The 23,135-nt window shown below is 40.1% G+C and overlaps 1 protein-coding gene and 1 long non-coding RNA gene across 42 annotated transcripts in view; one reads left to right on the forward strand and one right to left on the reverse strand.

Moving 5' to 3' along the window:
* Nucleotides 1–23,135, forward strand: part of LIMCH1 (LIM and calponin homology domains 1) — a 340,438-nt gene that overhangs the window by 193,982 nt on the left and 123,321 nt on the right. The gene's annotated exons all lie outside the window — the stretch shown is intronic.
* The window catches only part of LOC105374423 (uncharacterized), a 38,461-nt gene that overhangs the window by 10,135 nt on the left and 5,191 nt on the right, over nt 1–23,135 (reverse strand). The window contains exon 1 of the long non-coding RNA XR_001741667.2: nt 1–23,135. This exon is cut by the window's right edge and continues 5,191 nt beyond it. This is a non-coding gene — a long non-coding RNA (uncharacterized LOC105374423).

The following is a 23,135-nucleotide window of genomic DNA, read 5'->3' on the forward strand; positions in this document are numbered from 1 at the left end:
CTGGTAAAGGACGTGGGATCCCTCTTCATGGTGATTAAAAGAAAGTGGTAACTCTGAATGATAGCAATGAAAGAACGGAGGAAGGGAGCCTGATTTCAAGGGGATGTTGGTGTCAGTGGATCAGACTTCATGGTGCGCTGGTGGTGACCTCTGATGAAAGATTCTTGAGCCAGTTTCAGCCATCTTCCCTCTTGGATCCAGGGACTGGAGGCCAGTTTTGGCATCCTCCATTCATTTTTGGTTTACCTACTATGTATTGCATACCTACTATGCACCAGATCCTGCACTGTTATCTCAATGTATAGTGACGTAAAAACAAAACAGATAATATCCTTGACCTAAGTGAATTCTCAAGCTCAGTAGTATTAGGCCAGAGCAAGTCAGGTTCAGGAGAAGCTGTGGTGTGGTGGCCAGCTTTGTTGGTTTCCAAGCTCAAATTCACTGAAGCCTGTTCTTTTCATGGTTGGCTTCAATCCTTATAAAACTACAATTTTCTGAATCCAAAGTTTTCTTCCTGAGAGCCATTTGAATCGGTTTTTCCATTCCCTTCTTCTAAGGAAAAGGAACTATTTTGCTTCCACTTGTATTTAATAGATCTTCCACTGTTTCTCTTTTTGTCATTTATCTATTATTGCAATTGAACTAGGCAACAATCACAAAACCTCAGGAGTGTAAAACAAGTGTTCATTGCTCATGCATCTGAGATGGCTGAATTGGTGGCTCTGCTGAGGTTGGCCAAGGTGATGGGATGTGGGACTGCTCCACATACCTCTCTTACTCTGGTTGGCAATGCCAGGCATGTGCTCATGCTTCCCAATTCCTTCTGCTGTCACCTATGAGATGTTGTTTCTGGACTATTCATTTTGTCAGTATTTCTTCCTAAAATGTGCACTCAGACCTGTACAACCTTCCTCTAGGTGTGGTCTAACCAGTAAAAACTGCAGGGGAACCATTATTTCCTATCCTCTGGACACACTGCTTCTATTAGTTATTAATTTAGGCTGAGATGGCATTAGCTTACTTAGCAGATGAATTGCACAGTTGGCCCTCTTCTCACATTAAGCTTGAGAAAAATAAAACTTCTCAGATTTTTGTCCATATATACTGCTGCCAAGTCTCATCCATCCTGTGAAAAAAAATTTTTGTCTTTCATGCCTAGTCCTTGAACCGTGTCAATTGGGTTTTGTAAAGGGTCTTTGAAGTATGTCTTGAATTAACTAAGTTCATTCATTCATTCCATAAATATTTATCATGTCCCTATTAGGTGTCGAGCACTGTGCAGGGAACAAGACATGAACATAGTCCTTGGTCTTGTAGAATTTGTGCTCTACTTGCAGAAGGGTAGGGTGGATGTTGAAGATTCAGTAGTCAGGATTAAAAGGCATTATCCACTTTGTGACATGTTTGTTGCCATGGAGTCTTCTCCATTCTTTTTGAGAACTCCTGTAGTTGATTAAAATTCCAGTCATTGCCATTTGATTGATATTTGGGGTTTTGCTGAGATGTTGACACATCTGCTCGAACAAGGCATGAATAGTTAGCGGATGTGAAAACTGTTCACAAATTGCAAAAAGCAGGTTTCTGTTGAACGTTATGAACTTGATTGACATCACACTCAGGGTGGTGTTGATTTAGCAAGCGTGTCCTACTGTTTTCATGGAAAGTTCAAACATCTTTCCCCTGTGCCACTTGATGGGCATAAATGTGAAGGATTTTAGGCAAAAGAGCATGCGGTGAATACTGAAGCCTATCAAAGCTTTCTGTCACTCACAACTACATGGTATGCCTATGTTAGAGCTAGTTGACCGCCTTCCATTGGTTCTAAGGACACTTGGTTAGCAGTGTACTGGGTGTTGCCCTGACTCTAAAGCTGGGGTGTGAGTACTGGGAGGAAGCATCACCCCTTTTTGACTAATCCAGCATTCAAAATGCAAAACAAATCTAAGTGAAGTTCTTTCATTCATTCAACAAATATCAGAAAATCACCAGGTACTGGAAATTGATCAGCAGGCAAAATGCCCTTGAGGAGCTTATCTTCTAATGAGAAAACAGATAATAATGGTAAAACAAACAAGAATTTTTTTTTCTTATATGGTTAGAAAGCAAGTTCTATAAACAAGGGTGTAAAGTGCTGAGGTGAAAGACTGTAGAGTGTTATTTTATTTTATTTTATTTTTGAGACGGTCTCATTCTGTTGCCCAGGCTGCAGTGCAGCGGCGTGATCACAGCTCACAACCTCGACCTCCCAGGTTCAGTGAATCCTCCTAATCTGTTTTCTGAGTAGCTGGCACCACAGGCATTTGCTACTGTGTCTGGTTAATTTTTCTTGTACTTTTTGTAGAGACAGGGTTTCACTGTATTGCCCAGGTTGGTCTTGAACTCCTGGGCTCAGGGGGTCTGCCTGCCTCAGTCTCTGAAGGTGTTGGGATTACAGGTGTGAGCCACCACACCTGGCCAGTAATTTTAAATAGAGTGGTTGGCAGAGTCCTCATTGAAAGGTAGTATGTAGAGCAGAAATCTGGAAAATGATCTGAAAAAAGAAGTTAGCCAAATCCCAGCACTTTGGGAGGCCGAGGCGGGTGGATCACCTGAGGTCAGGAGTTCAAGACCAGCCTGACCAACATGGCAAAACCCTGTCTCTACTAAAAATACAAAAATTAGCTGGGCATGGTGGTGCACATCTGTAATCCCAGCCATTTGAGAGGCTGAGGTAGGAGAATTGCTTGAACCTGGGAGGCAGAGGTTGCAGCAAGCTGATATCATCCCATTGCATTCCAGCCTGGGCAACAAGGGCAAAACTCTATCTCAAAAAAAAAAAAAAAAAAGGAAAGAAAAAGAAAATATCATAACATGCAGAGATGACTGCCAGTGTCAAGGTCCCTGGTTCTACCTTTTTGATCATTAACTCTGCTATTAAATTAGCTACAAGTTTTTGAGTGCCCTGATGTGCCCAGACACTGGGCAGTTTACATCTATTGCTTGGACCCTGCCTAGGAAGTACATTATATTACGCCTCCCCATCTACAGTGGAGGAAACTGAGACTTAGATGAATTAAGTCAAGCCCCATATCTTAAGCAGCAGCTGAGATGGGATTTGAATCCATCTGACTTTGAATTCCTGGAAGCCTGAGCATTTCCTCCTGTCTTGTGGCTTCTTTCAGTATAGACATAATCTTGATAAAAACAAACTGGGAAATTACCCTTTGAACCAAGCAATTTGAGGAGTGTTTTTGAAACTAAGAGACTGGGTTTCTAAGAGATAAAATCATATAACTGCTGTTCTTTAAAATTCACCACAGGATCTACTTTTTCCAAGAAATCTCCCCTGAATAAGGGAAGGTATTTGGCATACAGCATCCAGCTAGGTTAATAGAGCTCTTTATATAGCCTATCTGCTATTAAAGCAGCCATTCGACACAGAATTCTGTTTATTTTAACTATCATTAATGGCCATTCCAGGAATCTATCTCTATTTCTTTGGGATACAAAACCAGTTCTGTATCGATTGCTTGACAATCTTGACACATAATAAATGCAGACCTTCCTTGTGTTCTAATGTTGCAAATTGTATCATCCTGTGGGCCGTTGTAAAATGGTTCTCATCTTTCCATAGCATCAATACCAGGATGGAGGAGTTGCCTCCATTTATAAGGACTAGGCATCAAGTGGTCATCATGACCAACAATGTCATAAATGCAAAGATAAATGTAAAATTACCTTTGAAGCTTCGTAAAAAGGGTTATACAAGGGAGCCTCATGTACTAGTGTGCATAAAACACACTAAAAATATACCTAACTCCACTCTCTCATACATTTAGAGTTTACAAGAATCGATGGAAGAGATGATTTTTAAAAAGGTATCCAGGGAAGTTTAAACTGATGCTTTTTCTTGCAATAAATAGATCTAAATCAAGCAAAGATGTTAAAATGTGTGTGTTTTAAAAATCTTTATTGCCTCTGTGTGTGTGTGTGTGTGTGTGTGTGTGTAATTAGAATGATGAGGAGAATTCTTAATAAAGGTGGCCTGGTGAGCAGACCCAGCACAATTTTTATCAGTGAGGTGTTAAAACACCACTAGAAATTTAAGGTGATGAGGGAAACTTGATTTACCAGAAACCTCTCCCGACACTGCATGGAAGGAATCCTTACCTAAGCCACATAGGGTGAAGGTGTTCTGGAGGGTTGGAAGTGCCAAGGGCGGTTCTAAACTACACTCTAGTGAAGGTGGCTACAATCAGTGTGGGCTTTTGTGGGGGCTTTAATTGTGAGGTTAGGATCTGAATAAGAATCCTGGAGAGCTGACTTTGACACCAATACACACTTTTTTTTTTCTCTTATCCTCATGCTCAACTCAATCTCCTCTGAAACTTGATGTCCAACAGCTAGGTTTTAAGGGTTGCAGATTATCTACCTTATCACAGTGGCCACACGTGTCAGCCTGGTGATGATGGTGTTTCACGTTCCTCAAGGACCCCTCACGGTGCCTGGATGTCAGTTTGCATAAAGCTTTAAATAAAGCTGCTCCGTATACATCAGCCCAAGTAGCAGCCACCCATAAACGGTGTGTGCTGTGCTTTTATGTCACTTTGACACTTTGGTGACAACTCTTGGACCATTTCACTCTTCTCTAAAGAGTCATAAAAACTGATACCAACATTGAAAAAAAAAACTTCAAAGTTTGTCTCTTAGAGTTGTAAAGGCAGGAATGAGATGCCTGCCTTAGATCTTATGGGAATTTCACCAAAAAGGGGCGGTGTATAGGAGGGTATCGTTTAAGCCACTGGCTAAATGAATGGTTTAAAACAAATTAGGCAGTAATGTCTGATTATGCTTCTTTCCAGTTCAAAATCTTTGTTGGTTCTATTCCCCAGCATGTTACAATCCATATTCCTTTCCACAGTCTGCCCAGCCTCATATCCTGTCCCTCATTTCTATTTCCTCCACCTCCCAATGCCATTACCGTCCCAGCCCTTCCCTCATCAGAGAAGAGGCAAACCTGAAGTCAGCCTTGGAGACCCAGCTCACATCACCTCACTGAAGCCCTGTTAGGTGCTTCTGAGTGGGTTCCTGTGCCCATGGTACAGTTTCCTACGATGATGTCAACCATATTGTATTTATGAAAGATGCATTTGTGTATTTCCACCTTGGTACAGTAAATTTTTTGAAATTTAGAGACCATTTTCTATGAACCCCTTCAGCATGTGGCATAATTCTAGCTCATGAATGATTGGATTGATGCTATAAAGAGGAGGGTTCCTGTATATAATCTCAGTGCAAGCAGAGCTTCTTTCTTTGTTAAAACTGTTGGATTTTGAATCTCAGCAGACATGTCTTCACCATCTGAGATTATGATAAATGTTTGACTTACTAATGCAGAAATTTAGCTTTGAGAAACACCTACAGATTTTTGTTTGGTTTTGTATTATCCAAAAGAGCATTGTCTTCGTGGCTGAAAAAAAATATTTTATCTGGTTTGGCAGATTAATTTGGCAGGATAGAGCTGGGCTGGGGATTATGACAATATATGTGGAAGGCAATTTATGTTGTCTTTTAAATACAGTACTCTAAGAATTGTAGATTTTTAAATAAAATATCCTTGCTGTTTTTGCCCCCTAAAACATAATAAAGATAAATCAAAAGTCCAGCTTCAAGTTATCTTACAGGAGCACCTTCAATTTCCTCTTCTGTCTTAGATGTTCCATGTAACCTGTGTCCTGTTCTCTTTCCCAAAGTTGTAAAGGAAGAAGGGTGCCTCCTCCCTGTCTTGATCCTACTTCCTTCAAGAATCTTCTGAACCAAGCCCCACTATTATAGTCCATCTCTCTCACATTTTCAACCCCTCATCTTACCATCAGCTGCTACCCTTCAGTCTACAAACCTACTAAGCCCTCTTTTACTCTTAAATCCCCCTTTCCTGAACCTGGCTGCATCCTCCGACTCCCGTTTTCTTCATCCTCTTCTTCAGGTGCAACTCGTTGCAAAAATAGTCTCCATTTACATCATCATCCCTCATCATCTCACATCTTAAGCTCGTACCAGCCTGACTTCCACTGCTTCATGGGATTAAACCTACTCTCAGGGTCACTAACCCCCATCAGCTACCTCCTATGTGTTTGATACCATTGGTCAGTCACTACCTGAAATTAGCTTTCTTGTTGGCTGTTGCCACACCACAGCTTCTAGCTCTCCTACATTTCCTTTATATGCACCCTACCCCTACCCAACGCAGATATTTCTTCTGGTTCTGTCTTTGATTCTTGTGCACCTCTGTCTATCATTTTTCTCTTGACAACTCTGCTTGCTCTTTTCTTTTAAACCACTGTCTACATGCTAAGGAACCCCAAGTCCATATGCCAAAAATTCCCAAGTCTCTATTGATAGTCCCGATCTCTTTCCAGGGCTTATTTCCAAGTACTACCTAGACTTCTTTTCCTGTGTTCCTGACAATTTCTCCACTTTATTCTGTCCAAACTGTCCAAAGTGTAATGAATCAAACAACCCGTTCCTCCATCTGCATTCCTTATTTCCCTTAACACCTTATGTCCTTTATTGGCAGCACAATTCTTATAGCCAGCATCCTGGAAGTGTTCCCAGCACTCACCCCTCCATCTAGTTGTTCCAAAGTTCTGTAGATTCTAAGTCCACACTCTCTCACACACACATCTACCTTTTCCTTTCTATTCCTCCTGGCCTTTGTCAAAGCTCATGTGTCAAAGCACAGTGGGGATTCTGTGACTCTCCTGCCCTTTCACTGCAGCAATGAAAGACTTCAAATTCCTGCAGAAGGCTTTCAGGGCCACACAAGTCTGACTGTCATTTACCTTATATAAGCATAAGGGCACAGTGGAAAGCAGCACTCTGTTAATGGTGAAAATCTAGGCTTCTGAAGTACATAGACATGAATGAAAACCTCAGTCTTCCCCTCCCTCAAATGTGCTTGCTTCTCTCTAAGCTTCATCCTTGTGTACTCCCCTCTCTATTGTCTTTTTTGGGCTTTGGTTAAAAACTCTTCTGAGGCTGGGCATGATGGCTCACGCCTATAATCCCAGCACTTTGGGAGGCTGAGGCAGGAGGATTACTTGAGCCCAGGAATTTGAGACCAGCCTGGGCAACATAGTGAGACCCTGTCTCTACAAAAAAAATAAATCGGTCAGGCATGGTGGCATGTTCCTGTAGTCCCAGCACTTTGGGAGACCAAGGTAGATGGGTCACTTGAGCTTAGGAGTTCAAGAATAGCCTGGGCAACATGGTGAAACCCTGGATCTACAGAAATACAAACATCAGCCAGGTGTGGTGCGCTTCCCCATAGTCCCAACTACTCTGGAGTCTGAGGCAGGAGGATCACTTTAGTCCAGGAGGTCAAGGCTGCCGTGAGCCATGATTACAGCACTGCACTCCAGCCTGGGCAACAGAGTGAGACCGTGTCTCAAAAAAACAAACAAACCAAACAAACCAAAAAAACAACTATTCTGATTCTTTCCCACCTCAGGATGTTTCTGACCCATGAGAAGCCCCAAATGCTGACTTGGATCTGTAGAAGCTGCCAGGCTCTTTCTGACCTTGTGTTGTTTAATCCAACCTAAATATGAAAGGAAAAGAAACAATACTGTGCTCACACACATTTAAATGTTTTAAACATTATTCTCCCTTCCTTTCTCTCCAGTTTAGAAATGCTGCACATAAATTTAGTCTTGCTTCCTTGGCTGTATTTTTTTCCCCCTCCAGAACTGCATGGATTTTTCTGTAGGTGTTAGAAAATCTAGATTCCAATTAACTTTGCTGCTGATTACTTTGTAAATCTTGGTGAGTCAGGGCTTGTTCGTAAATGATGATGAACATTTTAAAGTTCTTTGAGCATGGCGATGTGTGAGCAGAATACAGATGAACTAATTAGAATGTATAGTCGCTGCTCTTGTGTGATAGGTTTTGAGAAGGCTGTAAATAAACATGGGGCTTTCAAGTCTTGTTTATGGTTTTCAAGGGGGAAGTTTGTGTGCCTTATCTCATATGAAAAAACAGTTTACAAAATTTCTTTAAGTCTCTCTTGCTCTTCAGTTCATATTCTTGGGCACTAAAATGTGGACAAGTACCATGGGAAAGAAAAAGAAGTGGATATTCTGCAAAAATTCCACTGATGTTGAAGAACTAAATTCCTACTGGGAATTTGATCAAAAAGAGACTAGGGGAACAGCAGAATGGGAAAAGTAACCAACAATTCTATTCTTTATGCCTCCTAATTACACCGTGAAGAAATAGACGGATGTCACAAGAGCATGCACTTCAGTAAACATTTGCTTGAAAATGGTATTTAAGAATCCTCTGAAATCTCCCCAAAGGCCTCTAAAAAGCCTTCTCTCTAGAGAGAATTCTGATTATAAAACATTTTCTGCACGTCTCACCCTCTTTCATAGGCAGTATCATTATTGCTTGTGGGTTTGGGGCTTTATTTTGCTTCTGCCTCTGTTACGAGCCTCTGAGCAGTGTTCAGAAGTAGCCAAGGTACCCTTTTTCAGGTGTTCCTGGTGCCAGGGCCAGATATGGGCATGAAAGAGTCACAGTCCTGTCCTACTTCTTTTGAAAAAGAGGCCCATCAACCTCTCTCCACTTTGCATGTTCAGTTTCCAGTTACAACTTTCTGTCATCCTTTTTGCTTCCTTTTAAAAATTTTATTTCACCATTAGTAGAGTGATTGGGGTGTACGAGTTTTCCTTACTTTCCCCTTTCTAGTGTGGTGAGGATGAGTCAGGCTTTCTGAGTGGTATTTTAACTTTCCCTTGTCTCCTGTAACATTTGAAGAAGTCTGAGAGAATGTCAATTAGCTAAGTTCCTATCCAGAAATAAAAGGAAAAGTGTCAATAAGTATTGGTAGTAGGATAACAATTTTGGTGCAATGCTGAGACAAAAAGGAAATTGTTTTTGACCTGTCATGAGAATTAGCATGGGTCCAGTCATTCTGTCCCAAAATAAATTAATTTAGACTTTAAAAATTGTGCTGATTAGATAGCAAAATCTGTAGCAAAATTCAAAATTGTTACCCCTAGTATCTGGATGGCTACATAGTCCACTGTGGCAATGATTATTGGTACGGAAATGTTTAAAATAGGAAAGTTCAGGCTGGAGTCTGGAAATAAGTATTGATCCCTGTATCTCCCTTCTGTAGGGCTAAGGATTTGACAGAATTATTAAATAGGTATTTGGGTATCTGCACCAAGGAGAAAAATATTGCTCTTTCTGGGTCATGGGGGAGGGGTGATTTTTGCTTTCCCTTTTGTCAGAACTGATAAATGTTTGATAGAAAAGATCTTTGGAATGACACAATCAGTGAGAGTACACTGGGCAGAATGTTATGAAAGGATTTGATTCCCCAATTATAGCTTTTTAACTAGATTAAATCAAGCAGCATCAATTCTGAAGATGGGTCTATTTTCCTCTCCCAGTGGAACACTGCAAAGGATTGTCCTGTAAACTTCAAACACTGTGCTTAAGTTGGGAAGATTCATCTTCTGTTATTAATAGTTGAAGGTTCATAGCATAAACCGTGGCCTATATAGACCTTGGCCCACATCTCTGTGCCATCACCGACCAGCTCTGTGATAGTGTACATGTCACAGAGCCTCTCCCATACTCAGTTTCTTTGATCTGTCAAACTTGATGGTAATATATTCAAGAGATTATGGATAAAAGGGGATATATATGGGGGCCTGCAGTGTATGCACACACAGTAAATGCTCAGTAAGTGCTACCTGTTAATGTCTTTATCCTGACATCCATACTCTAGGTATGTTATTCTCTTCCAGGGATGTATCTGGAGCATAGATAATCAGAACCCCGCAAACAGCTTGTAAAATGAAGCAAGTATCTCTCAAAATTAAGTAAGCAGCCCAGATACTTGCAAATGGATTTTAGTATTTTTCCTACACAAAAGAGTAGAATTGAGTCATTTATAGTGATAGATGCTAAAAAGTAGAGCAAATTTCTTTCCTCCATTGTCCTGAATTTGTAGTTTACTGAGAAATTCTGGGAAACCCAATATACCAATGGCATGAAAAGCAACTGTGCTTTGGAGAACAGCACCTCCCTCTACCCATCCTGCAAAAAATGAACAAGTATTGCTTGTGAATGCTTTGCATGACAATGCCCTCTCATTTTTCCCTACAAATCACCCGCCTTTTCCTCTTAGCCAGGTATTATCAGATTTTATCACTAAAGTCCTAATATATCTCTATTAGAGATGAAAACAGGAGACTATAACATTTTGCCTACTTCTTCATTCTTGGACCAGCTATCAGAAAATTTACCATCAGGGATCTCCTGTCAAATTTAAGTCAGGAGTGTTGGACTTCTTAGCAGTCCTCTTCTCTCCATCCTAGAGCAGGAGGATCCGTGGAACTGTGTTCCCCCTCTCTGTTTTACACTTCAGGAAATTATAGAACAGCATGGTTAAGTGACTTACCCTAGGCTCATCAGCCAGCAGATAATACAATACCTAATATTTACTTAGTGCTCATTATAGGCTCAAAGCTCTCCTTATGTACTTTGTATGTTATTTCAATTACTTCTCATAACAAGTGTAAGAAGTATAGATAATATGATTGTTCCCATTTTACAGATGAGGAAAGGAGCATGGGAGGTGAGTAACTTGCCCAAGGTGGTAGACCTGGAATTAGAATTCAGATAGCTAAATCCAGAGGCTTCTCTCACCCATTTGCTCTGGCGGCAGAAGAGAATTCACATTGAGGCTATTTCAGGTTTTCCTGGTTCCCGTGAAAGCATTATTGCTTGAGGTTATTATAATGAAAAATAAAAGACACACTTGCCTGCTATTTGGGAACATTTATTTAGTAAATACTTATTGAGTACATAGTATGGTTAAGGGTCTGTGCTTGGTTCTGTGGGGGAATACAAAAGTAGGCATGATTAATGCAGCATACATTAAACCCGATATTTCTATACAGAAAAAAGTGGATATGATCCCTGTTTTGTCCTCAGTGAAATTAATGTATCCTATTCCAGAAACTTCCCAGGGACTTCCATAGAGTTAGCATGACTGATGTCAGTTCTCACTATAAGCCGTTGAGTCTAGGAAATCCAAATTACCTGAAGGATAATTTGTCCCTACAATATGGTTTGGCTCTGTATCCCCACCCAAATCTCACCCTGAATTGTAATATCCCCACATGTCAAGGGCAGGATCAGGTGGAGATAATTGAATCGTGGAGGAGGTTTTCCCTGTGTTGTTCTCGTGATGGTGAGTGAGTTGTCACGAGATCTTATGGTTTTATAAGGGGCTTCCGCCTTTACTCAGCACTCATTTCTCTCTCCTACTGCCCTGTGAGGAGTTTGCCTTCTGCCATGATTGTAAGTTTCCTGAGGCCTCCCCAGACAGCCCTACAGAACTGTAAGTCAATTAAACCTCTTTCCTTTATAAATTACCCAGTCTCAGGCAGTTCTTTATAGCAGTGTGAGAACAGACTGATACACCCAATTAAAAACAAATAAGAGAACAAACTATGAATAAGCAGTGTCCTCAAATTAGACCTTGGTAGGTTGTGAAAGTGATGGGACACTGCTGTTTTGCCAGTGCCTAGAAGCTCGTGGGATATTGGAGTGGTTTTCTTTTCTAGTTGTCACTGTTCTGTTTTAAGCAAGGATCAGTCATCCAAGCCAAGATCTCCTTGCTTTATGCATAGTGATTCGAGGGCTCTCTGTCATGGGTTGGCATCTTAGGAAAGATAGTTAGAAGTTAGCTATTTCGGATACACACACACACACACACACACACACACACACACACATACACACACACACAGACACACACACACACACATATATATGATAAATTAAATAAATATATGATAAATATATATATGAGATAAATATATATATATATTTCAAACTAGTGTTTGTTGTCTGTTTTCATTGTTCTGGATAGAGTCTTATGATTTTTTAGAATTTCCTTTGTCTCCTGGTAAAAATAACACTTAGCTTTTGTATCTTTCTCTAAGAAGAATTCCAAGATGTTTAACAATGGTCCAGGTACTTCTTACCACAAGTATGCTTGGACTGGTGAACTATTAGGTCCCCAAATTTTAGGGGATCTGATGGTTGAGAGAGGGAAAGGTGGGCATTTTGACTGTCTCAGCCTTGGCACTGGAGTTGTGATGTATGTGGTTGGAGCTTAGGAATCTGTTGCTGCTCCACCTGTGCCACCCTGAGTCTGGACCAGGGTAGGTATCCCATCCCAATTTGTGCCCCACACTCTGACAGTGTCTAAGATGATGCTGATAATAACCACTACAAGCAACTAACATTTGGGGATACAGACTGTGTACTAGGCATGGCACTAAGCTCTTGGGAATTTCTTATTTAACCCTGACAACTTATACTGTAGATATTCTTATTCCTGTTTCACAGATAAGGAAACTTGTCCACGATCACAAAATTAGTAAGACAGAGCCAGAGTTCAAACCAAAGTCTGTCTCATTCATCCCTGAACTCTTAACCACTAAAGTAGGCATCCCTAGTGGTGAAGACACTAAGGTAGGAGTCAGGCCATATGGGTGGTCATGTCACATTGAGCCCCTCCACATCATCTATGAGGACTGGAATCAACTTATTCCAGACTCTTGTTAATGTTGATATTTTGAGCCTCCCCCAAGAATCACAAATGGTCTTAATGGCATCTAGCATGATGAATCCTTTCCAGAAGGTCTTCAATTTGCTTTGCCCAGATCCATCAGAGGAATCACTATCTATGGCAGCTATAGCCTTACAAATATATTTCTTAGATAATAGGACTTGAAAATTGAAATTACTCCTTGATCCATGGGCTGCAGAGCTTTGAGTGAGGTTTTGAATGTGGGAAAGGCTTTGAATGTGGGGAAGAGATAGGCCTGGGGGAGACATGATGAAATATCAGAATACTGAAGGACAGTTGGGTGAAAGAGAGCCTCAGCATGATGTAGGCAGTTTCCTGGAAGTATACTTAGAACCAATGAGGAGAAGTCACTAGGAGCATCAACATGTTGATACAATGTAAGAATGAGTTTTCTATGATAACTATGTGAAGTGATATGCTAATCATTCTACACAAAATCATTATACAAAAATTGTATAAATTTAAAATGTAGAATGTGATGTTTTGATAAACATCTCATCATACACTTTATACAATTTTTATTTGTTAATTATACCCCATTAAAGCTGGGAATAAACTTAAAAAAAGAAGAGTTTTCTATCACATACAGAGTTATCCGAAGATGGGCTGAAATGCATCAGAAATTGACCACTTCCTTGTTACTGAAGTCTTTCAAGCCTAGACTGGGCAGCTTCATCATGAGGACTGAATCATTGTCAATCCTATAATTCTTTGATCCCAATCAGCAGTGCTCTTATAAGTGCCCATCAGAATACTTGCAAAACCTACCTGCTCAAACTCCTCTATTCTTAAAGCTGTTCTTCCTTTCACCAAGTTCTGAGAACTAGCAAGGGCTCTGCCCAGTGGTGTGTCATAGCACAGTACAAAACTGATGGGTCTGCATAAGAAGGCAGAATAAAGGATGCTGAGGTTAAGGGGGGGACCTGCTTGGATTTGAACCCTGTCTCGTCACTTGCTGTGCATACATGCTGAAGTTACTCTACCTCTCTGTGCCTTGGTTTCCTCATATATTATGCTGTACATGGGATAATATTAAAATGAAAGTGTTTTTAAGATTAATGAGATAATACATTTAAAGCCCTCAGAACAATGCCTGGCATGTTTGAGATATTCAGTAAGTGTTTTTGTTGGCTTTATAAGCACGTCAGCAAAACTTTTTTTAACTTTTGACTTGCTCTCAGCCAAATAAGTAAAGTATTTATGCAAAAATAATCATGACAAGGTCAATAGTAGCAGCAATAGTAGTAATATATGACTGAGGCAGAATTAAATTCCAGAGCCCATACTTTTAACTACCTACTTAGGGTTAGGTACTGAGTTAGGTGCTATACTTGAATTATCTCCTTTATTCCCTAGGAAAACCTGGTAGGTAAGTGTTACTGCATTTTATAGATGAGGAACCTGGGGCTTAGACAGATTATGTAGTTTGCCCAGTATTACCAATAAGTGCACAGAAAGGCATGATTAGAATCCAGGTCTTTTTGTGTTTATCTTTGGAAGTATTGCTACACTTGTTTGGTAGTAATAAATAGCTCTTTTTTTAGAAATCTTGTGCTTAAGTGGCATCAGAAAAGATGATAAGTTCATTTCACCTCCCAGGTAATGTCCTTAAAATTGGCAGCTATAGGCCGGGCGTGGTGGCTCATGCCTGTAATCCCAGCACTCTGGGATGCCAAGACAGGCGGACCACGAGGTCAGGAGTTCGAGACCAGCTTGGCCCACATAGTGAAACCCCGGCTCTACTAAAAATACAAAAATTAGCCAGGCATGGTGAAACCCACCTGTAATCCCAGCTATTTAGGAGCCTGAGGCAGGAGAATCTCTTGAACCCAGGAGACAGATGTTGTAGTGAGCCGAGATTGCACCACTGCACTTCAGCCTAGGCGACAGAGCGAGACTCCTTCTCAAAAAAGAAAAAAGCAGCTATGACGGTTACTTAAATGGGCAGTAAAATGGCATTTGAGGAATAAATGGTCAATAGGATCCAGTATTTACAACCATAATTGATAGTGAAATTACAGACTCATCACTAAGAAAGCTTTCCTATCACTTTACAATAAATTGTGTAATCTGAAAATAATTTTAAAACAAAAAGTTATCAAGGTCCAGCTTCAGGAGAGCCAACGTGACAGCTGACCTGATGCACCGGAGTTACAACACAAGAACTGTTGCATTCCCTTGCAATGGTGTGTCATGGGTTTGATCCACATGCACACAGAGTATATGTATTGAAAACAGTGGTGACATAATGTTCTACTTATTTTTGGATCTAGATTTCTTCAAAAACTAATGCGAGAAAAATACTCTAAAATGGATGATTTCTTCTGGCTATCCTTCAGAAAGACTGAATGAGAAAAATATGATGCTGCTAAAATAGGCCAAAATGTTGATGAAATGTCTGTGGATATTGGAGGATATACTCAAATGTAAATTGTCTCCTTTGTCATAAAATAAGGCGAGGCTATAGGTCGAGGTATTGGCAGTTACTATGAATAGTAAATAACCATTGAAAGATTGCTTGACTTTGAAATTGATTGCAGAGATAAACATTTAAAAGTTTTCTCTCAAATTTCTAGACATGTTATTTACCTCTCTATTCAGGTTATGTGGCCCATCTTTGTGCATTGGCAGTCTTATTACATTTTTTCTTCTCTTTTTTTCTCTTTGTGTTTTTAGTCTGTCATTCTCTTGATCTTCTACATATGGTGTAATGAAAATATGCACAGAATGTAATCAAGAAATGTCTCATATAATTAAAAAAAACAATTTAGTGCTTCTTAACATTGTACTAAATAGAAATTACCAACTGAGGGAAACTGATAAGAATTGACTGTGTAAATGCCTACACCCGAACCAGCATAGATATTGTTTAATAATTGGTTTTGTTTCTCATGATAAATAATGCTGCGTGACCTGTTACCCCACTTGAGAGATGCAGGAGTTAGAGATCAAAATGCTCGCTTTCTTAATGAGAAGAGCTCAATTGAAGACTTCGGTCTGTGGCAAGGGTGCCTGCTGCCCTTTTAGCCTGAACGAAGCCAGACTTACCCACTCAGCCACCAGGAAGAGCCCACCATGCAGTTCTCTCCTGTAGGGGCAGCTCCCGTAAAACCTGTAGTATGGAGTGGAAGAGAAAGTGCACATTTTGCCCGAAGTTGGAGGAAGAGGCTTGGCTAAACATGCTCAGTTCCTTCATCACTCAGATACCCCATGAGCAAGAGGGCAGAAAAATGCCCAGGGGTTATGCTAAGGGAGCTTCCTCTACTTGGAAACGCGAAGTAAAAGAATAGGAGGGTCGGCCCTCAACAGTCAATTAGGAGATGAGGCACAGCTGAAATCTAGGACCTGTTTTAAATCTGGCTGAACACATTAGCTATATAGTACCTGTGGTTTCCAAATACTATAGTAAATATATTGTATGTACTCGGATTACTGGAGATGCATTGTCAAAGTAGTCAAGTCAAGGACCATATTCAATATTGAAGTGGGTTTCAAAGATAATGAAACATAATAAGGACTCCAAAAATGCCACTAAAAGCAGATTCTCAATATTAGCTGTGCATCAAATTCACTTTAGTTCACTGAAAAATAACCTGTTGATTAAAATTCTGTTCCTCGTCATCATCAGGAAAGGATTTATGCTTTAAAGTTCCTATGCTATTTAATCTATTTTGCATTTCTCTGGCCATTGTGACTGAATTTCTCTTTCATGAGTAAATAGATAAGACTAAATGACAGCCATTTATAGCATCATTGCTGAGGACACAGCTGAGGGTCTGCCCAGCATGAACCACATGTTTGCAGAATGGTTGGTGGACAGCAGGTCCCAGCGTGGGATATTAGGTATGAGTGTCACCATGTGTCTCAGTAACACAGAACGGTATCCTTGGCAATGTACTCTGTGACCTCCACAAAACATTAGATATGCTGCATCAGCTTGACTGCTGAAAATAGTAAGCCTGCCTGGCACGCATAATTCTGTGGCCATTCTGTGCTTTAACCAGTAGTCTTACAGCGAAGCTCTGACCTGAGGCATTCTGCTTATAGCACTAACAAAACTTTGCTTTCCAAGGGGTTAAAGAAATACTTTCAAAACATGTGGCCTCACTTCCACTTAATTGCTGTAGGGACTCTCTGGTTTCAACAGGAGCCTTTGAATCTGAAGTTTAAGCCTTGCTTTTGTTCTATCAGCCCTCTTTTCCTTCAGTGATATGTTTTGCATTAGCGTTGCAGTGGAGTAGACACTAGCCTGTATTGATTTTGGTTTGCATGCTTATGCTAAGGCAGAGGTGTTAATTTTGAGGAAGAATGAATCCTGGTTTGGACCTGTGCACTTGAGGAAAGGAGGAAATTATAATTTCCACCATCTGTAACAGTGGCCCTGCTCCGAACATTTTGTGGCAAAGAAATGTTTAGTAGGTAGCTCTGGGCGGACAAGAGGGATTCAAGAATCAATAACATTTAGGCAAAGGTTAAAGACAGAAGGATGAATGGCACCGCCCAACAAAAATAGACTGATGAGAGTTATTGGCCATGGGGTGTGACTTGGAGAAACTGTCGTTTAAGGATTGGGGGAGAAAAAGGGACTCAGGAAGAGGACTGAGAAAAAGAAACAGAGAAACAGTGGAAAGTGGAGCATTCTAGCATCCATTTGAAGGAGAGTGCAGAAATAGGAGGTAATGAACTGTGTCAAATGCAGGTAGAGATTTAGCACATTGCAAGAACTGAAAAGTGTCCCTTGGATTAGCAAGTAAGGAATGATTGTTGACCGTAAGAGGATTTGTACCAGATGGTGAGAATTGAAGTCAGATTGTGAGGGGGATCAAACAGGAGGAGAGAAATAAAGACTGTGATTATGATCAACTCTTGTGGGCAGGAGAGCTGAGAAAGAAGAGGAGAGAATGTGTGGCTCAGGGAGCCACACAGTCCTTGGAGGACTGTTCGTTAGGGTAGAAATGTTTTTTGTCTTGTTTATAGGACAAGGAGAAGACTGGTGAGAAAAAGATGAAGACAGAGACAGAGAAGAGAGGGGAAAATAAGTGTGAAGTCTTGGAAGTTAGGAAGGGATGACTTTGACAAGGAAGGAGAGACTTCTTTTGTCCTCGGAGCAGGGGAAAGGAGACGGAACACAGGAGTGTATAAAAAAGGAATGGAGTATTGACAGTGCCGTTTCTGGAGGCCTTGACTTTCTCAGGGCAGCAGCAGGCAAGGATGTCTGAGAGTAAGTGGGAGGGGTGTCACAGAGAGAATATGAAGAGAGAAGCAGGAGGTTGGATTTGTTGTTGAGGGGAATGGGATAAAATTATGGCCTCAGTGAGGACTCAGCTGAATTTGGAAACAATGAATTTATAAGGGAGCCAACATGTTCCACTGGGTGATCAACAGGTTAAAAGTTTGGTGTGAGGTCCAAGAACTAGTGCATTTTGAGGGTGAGCAAGAGCCTGATGGATAATGTGTTCGGCCATGGAATATGATACTGGATTATCTACAGTATCACTGCAGGTAATGACAAGATTCAAAGTGGGTCTCCAGAGTGGTGTGGTGCCTGGCCTCAAAGGAAGGGGAAGTAGATGGCTTTTATAGGGTTTGATGTCAAGGATGTCGAAAACCATTGCCACCTCAGAAACCTTTATTCTTATTAGGTATTTACCAGAGCCTGAAATTCCTTGAGGGGTGCCTTATAGCAAGCAGCCTTTCATTTATAGTAAACTGGAAATATATTTGAGACTGGGGATATTTTAATCTCCAATGATTTCTACCTAAGCGTGAATGAAACATGAAAGGAGCAGTTCTAAGAAATAATTATTGGTTGGTTTGTTGATAGGGGTGGGAGCAAATGGAGAGGCTGAGATGGGCACTGAGTATGAGAAAAAGAAACGTTAGCTGCTGAGCTGAATTCTGCTTTGTCAAACTTTTCTAAACACTGCTCCATCTGGAAATGTAACACAATTAACAACATCTTCACAGATGCAAGACAATGATCTTGCAAGTGCCCCACTCAAATTATTATTATAAGTTGTATAGAGATACACACAGTTCGGGGGTTTAGAAACCACAGAGAAACAAAATTTGACGATTGGCAATACATTGGATTTAGGGGAATTACCATTGGATTTGGTTTTATATTACATTTTAGTGTCCAAGATTGCATATTTTACAATACTAGTTTTTTTTACTTAAGGAAAGAAAATATGAGACATCTTAATACCAAAAGGAAAATTAAGAGTGGAATTTGAGTGATGTGGAATTTGACAGTGAAGTAAATAAAAAGAAGGACCTCTGAGATAAGATTTTCTGGCAGAAAAAAGCAAGGCTCTTAGTAGCAAATTTTAAATGAGTAATGGTCAAGGAAAATAACGTGAAACAGATTCTCTCATAAGCTTGGATGAGAAAACACAGAAAGGAATAATGCAAGGTCAGGCTGAAATGAACTGTAATTAGAGTCTGTGAAATCGCACAACCAGAGTATTGTCACATGGTGTTTGTGTTTTGATTTCAGTATCTTGGCAGTTAGATAGGACCTAGTCAGTAATTCTTAGGTGGGTTAAGAACTTTCTAGACATAAGGCAACGGGAATGAGGAAACTGAAAGAGGAGTCAGACGAGTGTTCAGAGGAGGCAGGCACTTCCCAAAGGCTACTGCTATTCAGTGACATCACGGAAGTACCTAATTTAGAGGTTCTTAGATCCTCAAACCAAGATATGGTTATCTACAGGAATGGGACAGTTTCTGCATTAGGGGTTATGTAGATAAGGAAAATCTCCAAGTAATGTTAGCCAGTGTAGGACTTTCAGATCTTCTCCAAACCAATGTATGGCAATCAGCCTCTCCTACCAAAACGATGGCTTTGAAGTTTACTGTCGTGTCTCCTCTTTCTATGCACCAGTGGTGATGCCAATAAGCAGTGAATTTTCAGACAACAGAAGGCAAGAGAAAAATAGTCCATGTCTAATTGGCTTGGCTGTCACTGGAAAAAACCAATAGCTGAGAAAGTCAACAGCATCAACAATCAATTTAGAAAATCTTTTTTAAAAAATCATTGCCATCTTTTTCTAGATTTAACTATGATATGTAATCACTATGTAAAAATAAAAATTAAAAAATATATAAAGGGGCAAATAAAATCATGCATAGCAGTCCACTCAGAGACTGTTAGCATTTGGTTGACATTCCTCTAGTAATTTCTCTGTATGTTGATATGTATGTAAATGACATGGTTGAGGTTACACTGTGCATCACTTTTCCAGCCTTCATTTTCCCTGGACCTTGATCATGAGGACTTCCGTATATTGTTAAGTATTCTTCGCAAATGCTATTTTGATGGCTGTATACCCTTTTCCCACATCAATGTGCAATAAATTGCTTAACTGCATTCCTGTTGCTGGGCATTTGGGTGGTTGCTATTTTTAAGCTACTATAAATCAACTTGTGATGAGCAATACTGCACATAAACCTTCTTTTTTTCCTGATCATTTTTTAGGACAAATTCCCAGCAGTAAAGTTGCTAGATCAAAGAAAACCCACATTTTTAAGGTTTTTGAGACGTGTTGTCAGGTCCTCCTCATAAAGGTTGTAATACACACTTTGCATGTGTAAAGTATTATAAGGGACCCAAGGGGAGATACTGGATTATAAAAGCCAATGGCTATTAGGTCATTAGCTTAAAGAGCTATTTTTAAAGTTCTGTGTCCTGGACCTTTGCCATAAGCTCCCGTCTATAATACAATTAGGAAGACAAATCTCTCTTATATGCCATCTGTGAGGGAATTTGTGCTAAATTATTCAAACAAAACTCTTTCCTATAATGCAAACTCAGGCGGCAGGAAATATCATGGGTTTTGTTGAACTAGGTTTATTCCAGGCAGAGCTTAAGTACAGAATCAGGTGGGATCTGGCAGGGGTCATCAAGTAAAAGTCTCAGAAAGATAAAATGTGTTGAAGGTGTGAAGAGGACCATCTTGATTTTGACTTATATCCTTGAAGATCCCCTCCCCTCCCCTCCCCTCCCCTCCCCTCCCCTCCCCTCCCCTCCCCTCCCCTCCCCTCCCCTCCCCTCTCCTTTTTTGAGACAGAACCTTGCTGTGTCGACCAGGCTGGAGTGCAGTGGCACAATCTCAGCTCACTGCAAGCTCCACCTCCCGGGTTCAAGTGATTCTCCAGCCTCAGCCTCCTAAGTAGCTGGGATTACTGCCACCACACCTGGCTAATTTTTTTGTATTTTTCATGGAGATGAGGTTTTACCATGTTGGCCAGGCTGGTTTCAAACTCTTGACCTCAGGTGATCCACCTGCCTCAGTCTCCCAAAGTGCTGGGACTACAGGCATGAGCCACTGTGCCCATCTCTTTTCATATTTTAGGATCCAGACTCATCCCTGGGAGACAAGCACAGGCTACAAACCTATCAGCTTAACCATCATCCCTGTCATTGTTTTAATGTGTTGAATGTAAGCTATTAAGACTTCAAATGTGGCTCGAGTATTCTATTACGCTGTTTGCTTTTTGCTTTCTGGAAAACATTTATGAGACTGTGTAAGGGAGCGAAATAGGTTGGGCACTTGGGGGTAGGTTTAAATCCCATCTCTACCACTTGCTGGCCGTATGACCTTGGAGAAATCATTTTACCACTCTGAGCTTTAGGTTTTAATTTCCTCATCTGTCAGTTAGGAACCACTGAATTCATCTTGGAGGGCTGTTGTGAGAATGAAAAGAATAATGTCTGTGAAATACTCAGCACAATTTCATTTCTATGGCTTTTTAAATCCTACTGATGCACTCCCAATTATGTGAAATCACACACCCACACACACACACACAATTTATTGAGGCATATTTTGAAGTAGCAAATGATTGGAAACAACCTGTAACCTCTAAATATCTATTGGTAGAAGACTAATGTAATTATTCTGACTAGTAGCTGTTGTTACCATGTTAAGTATGAAGACACTGACCAGATAGCATTTTTTTAAAAGCATCGCTGATTTTTAAAGGCATTGTGATTGAGAAAGTGCTGTTTTACCTGTTAGCTCTGTATTATTTCATCAGGTATGGTTTGAATGGGTAAATATCTGCCTCACCGCAAATGCAATCATTCAGTAAATATTTATTATGTGCCAGCATGGTGCTATAGTTTCACAAACCCATTACAAGTTTGAATTTTTTTAAACTGGATTCATTCAGGGGTGTATTCTTTTGGAAATAATTTTCAAACACTGTTTCATCATGCGGATATGACATTCTTTAGAAAGTGCTCATAGAAATCTTCTGTCATGTTTGAGAACACTCTGTACTTAGTTTGTAACTACTTGGCATACAAATTTATATGATTGTATATAAAGCTCATATCAGGCGCATCTTGTGAGTAGTAGGAAGATGTTTAAGGTTAGGGCCTAAATATATGAGATTTTTAAAACACATTTTGGCAAGTGTGGGTTTTATTTTTTATATGTGAAAGGAGCTGTGTCTTTTTTTCCTGGAGCTTAAATACATGAAGCAGGAATGTATCTGGTGGTAGTAGATATTTGCCTCTTGCAATGTTGAGATCGCACAATTCTAGCAGATACTCCCAGCCTGTTGATCTTATAGGAGATTCCCCTATACTTTGGGCTTCAGGTCCATCAGCTGTAATGGCCACAGTTGGTACTACAATAGCTGCCTCTAAGTAGAAGAATAACCTTTTTGGAACTATTTGTTCTCCAAGAAGAAAAAAGGCAGGTTTCTATCAGCCATTTGTTGTCATTTATTGACTTCAAATGAAAACTAACTTGCCTAGTTGGACAAAAAGAAGAATGTGTAAGATATAAAAAGGGGATGGGATGCTCACAGTGACATTAATAAGCAATACATTTACAAAGTGTTTGTTAGTTCACCGTCTGCATAACCTGTTGATTTGTGCATATTTCTTGTGAGGTTTATGTTTGTTTTTGAACTTCTATTTGTCCAAATACATTTGACTTTAATTATTTCCAGTCTTGTGTTTCTGTATGTGTTTATGATCAAGAATGCTTTAAACTTGCTCAATATACATTTTTTCAGACTTTTTTTAAATTTCAAAAGTAACTTATTGTTTTATCTTATTATAAAGGCAATACTTGCTTATGTCAGAAAAAATGAAAATGGTGACAACCTTTAGGGAGGACAATTTGGAAATACCTATCAAATTTTAAAAATACAGATATCCTTTGACTAAGCAACTTCTCTTCTAAGTGTTATAATTTACAGATACACTCCCATTTATGTGAAATGACATGCATAAAGAGGTTTTCATTGCAGCATTTTTGTGGTAGCATGTGATTAAAAATAACCTAAGTGTCCATCAACAGAGAAATGGTAAAATTAGTTGTGGTCATTTATGGTTAGGATGATCATTCATCCAGGTTTGGCGGGGACAGTCTTTGTTTATGTCTGTTCTGCAGTAGTTAGGAATAGCATGCTCTTCCCTTTCAAAAGTATCTTGATTTGGCCAGTAAATTTTGTGTTT

Source organism: Homo sapiens, chromosome 4 (genome assembly GCF_000001405.40).
Source record: "Homo sapiens chromosome 4, GRCh38.p14 Primary Assembly".
Taxonomy (NCBI): Eukaryota; Metazoa; Chordata; class Mammalia; order Primates; family Hominidae; genus Homo; species Homo sapiens.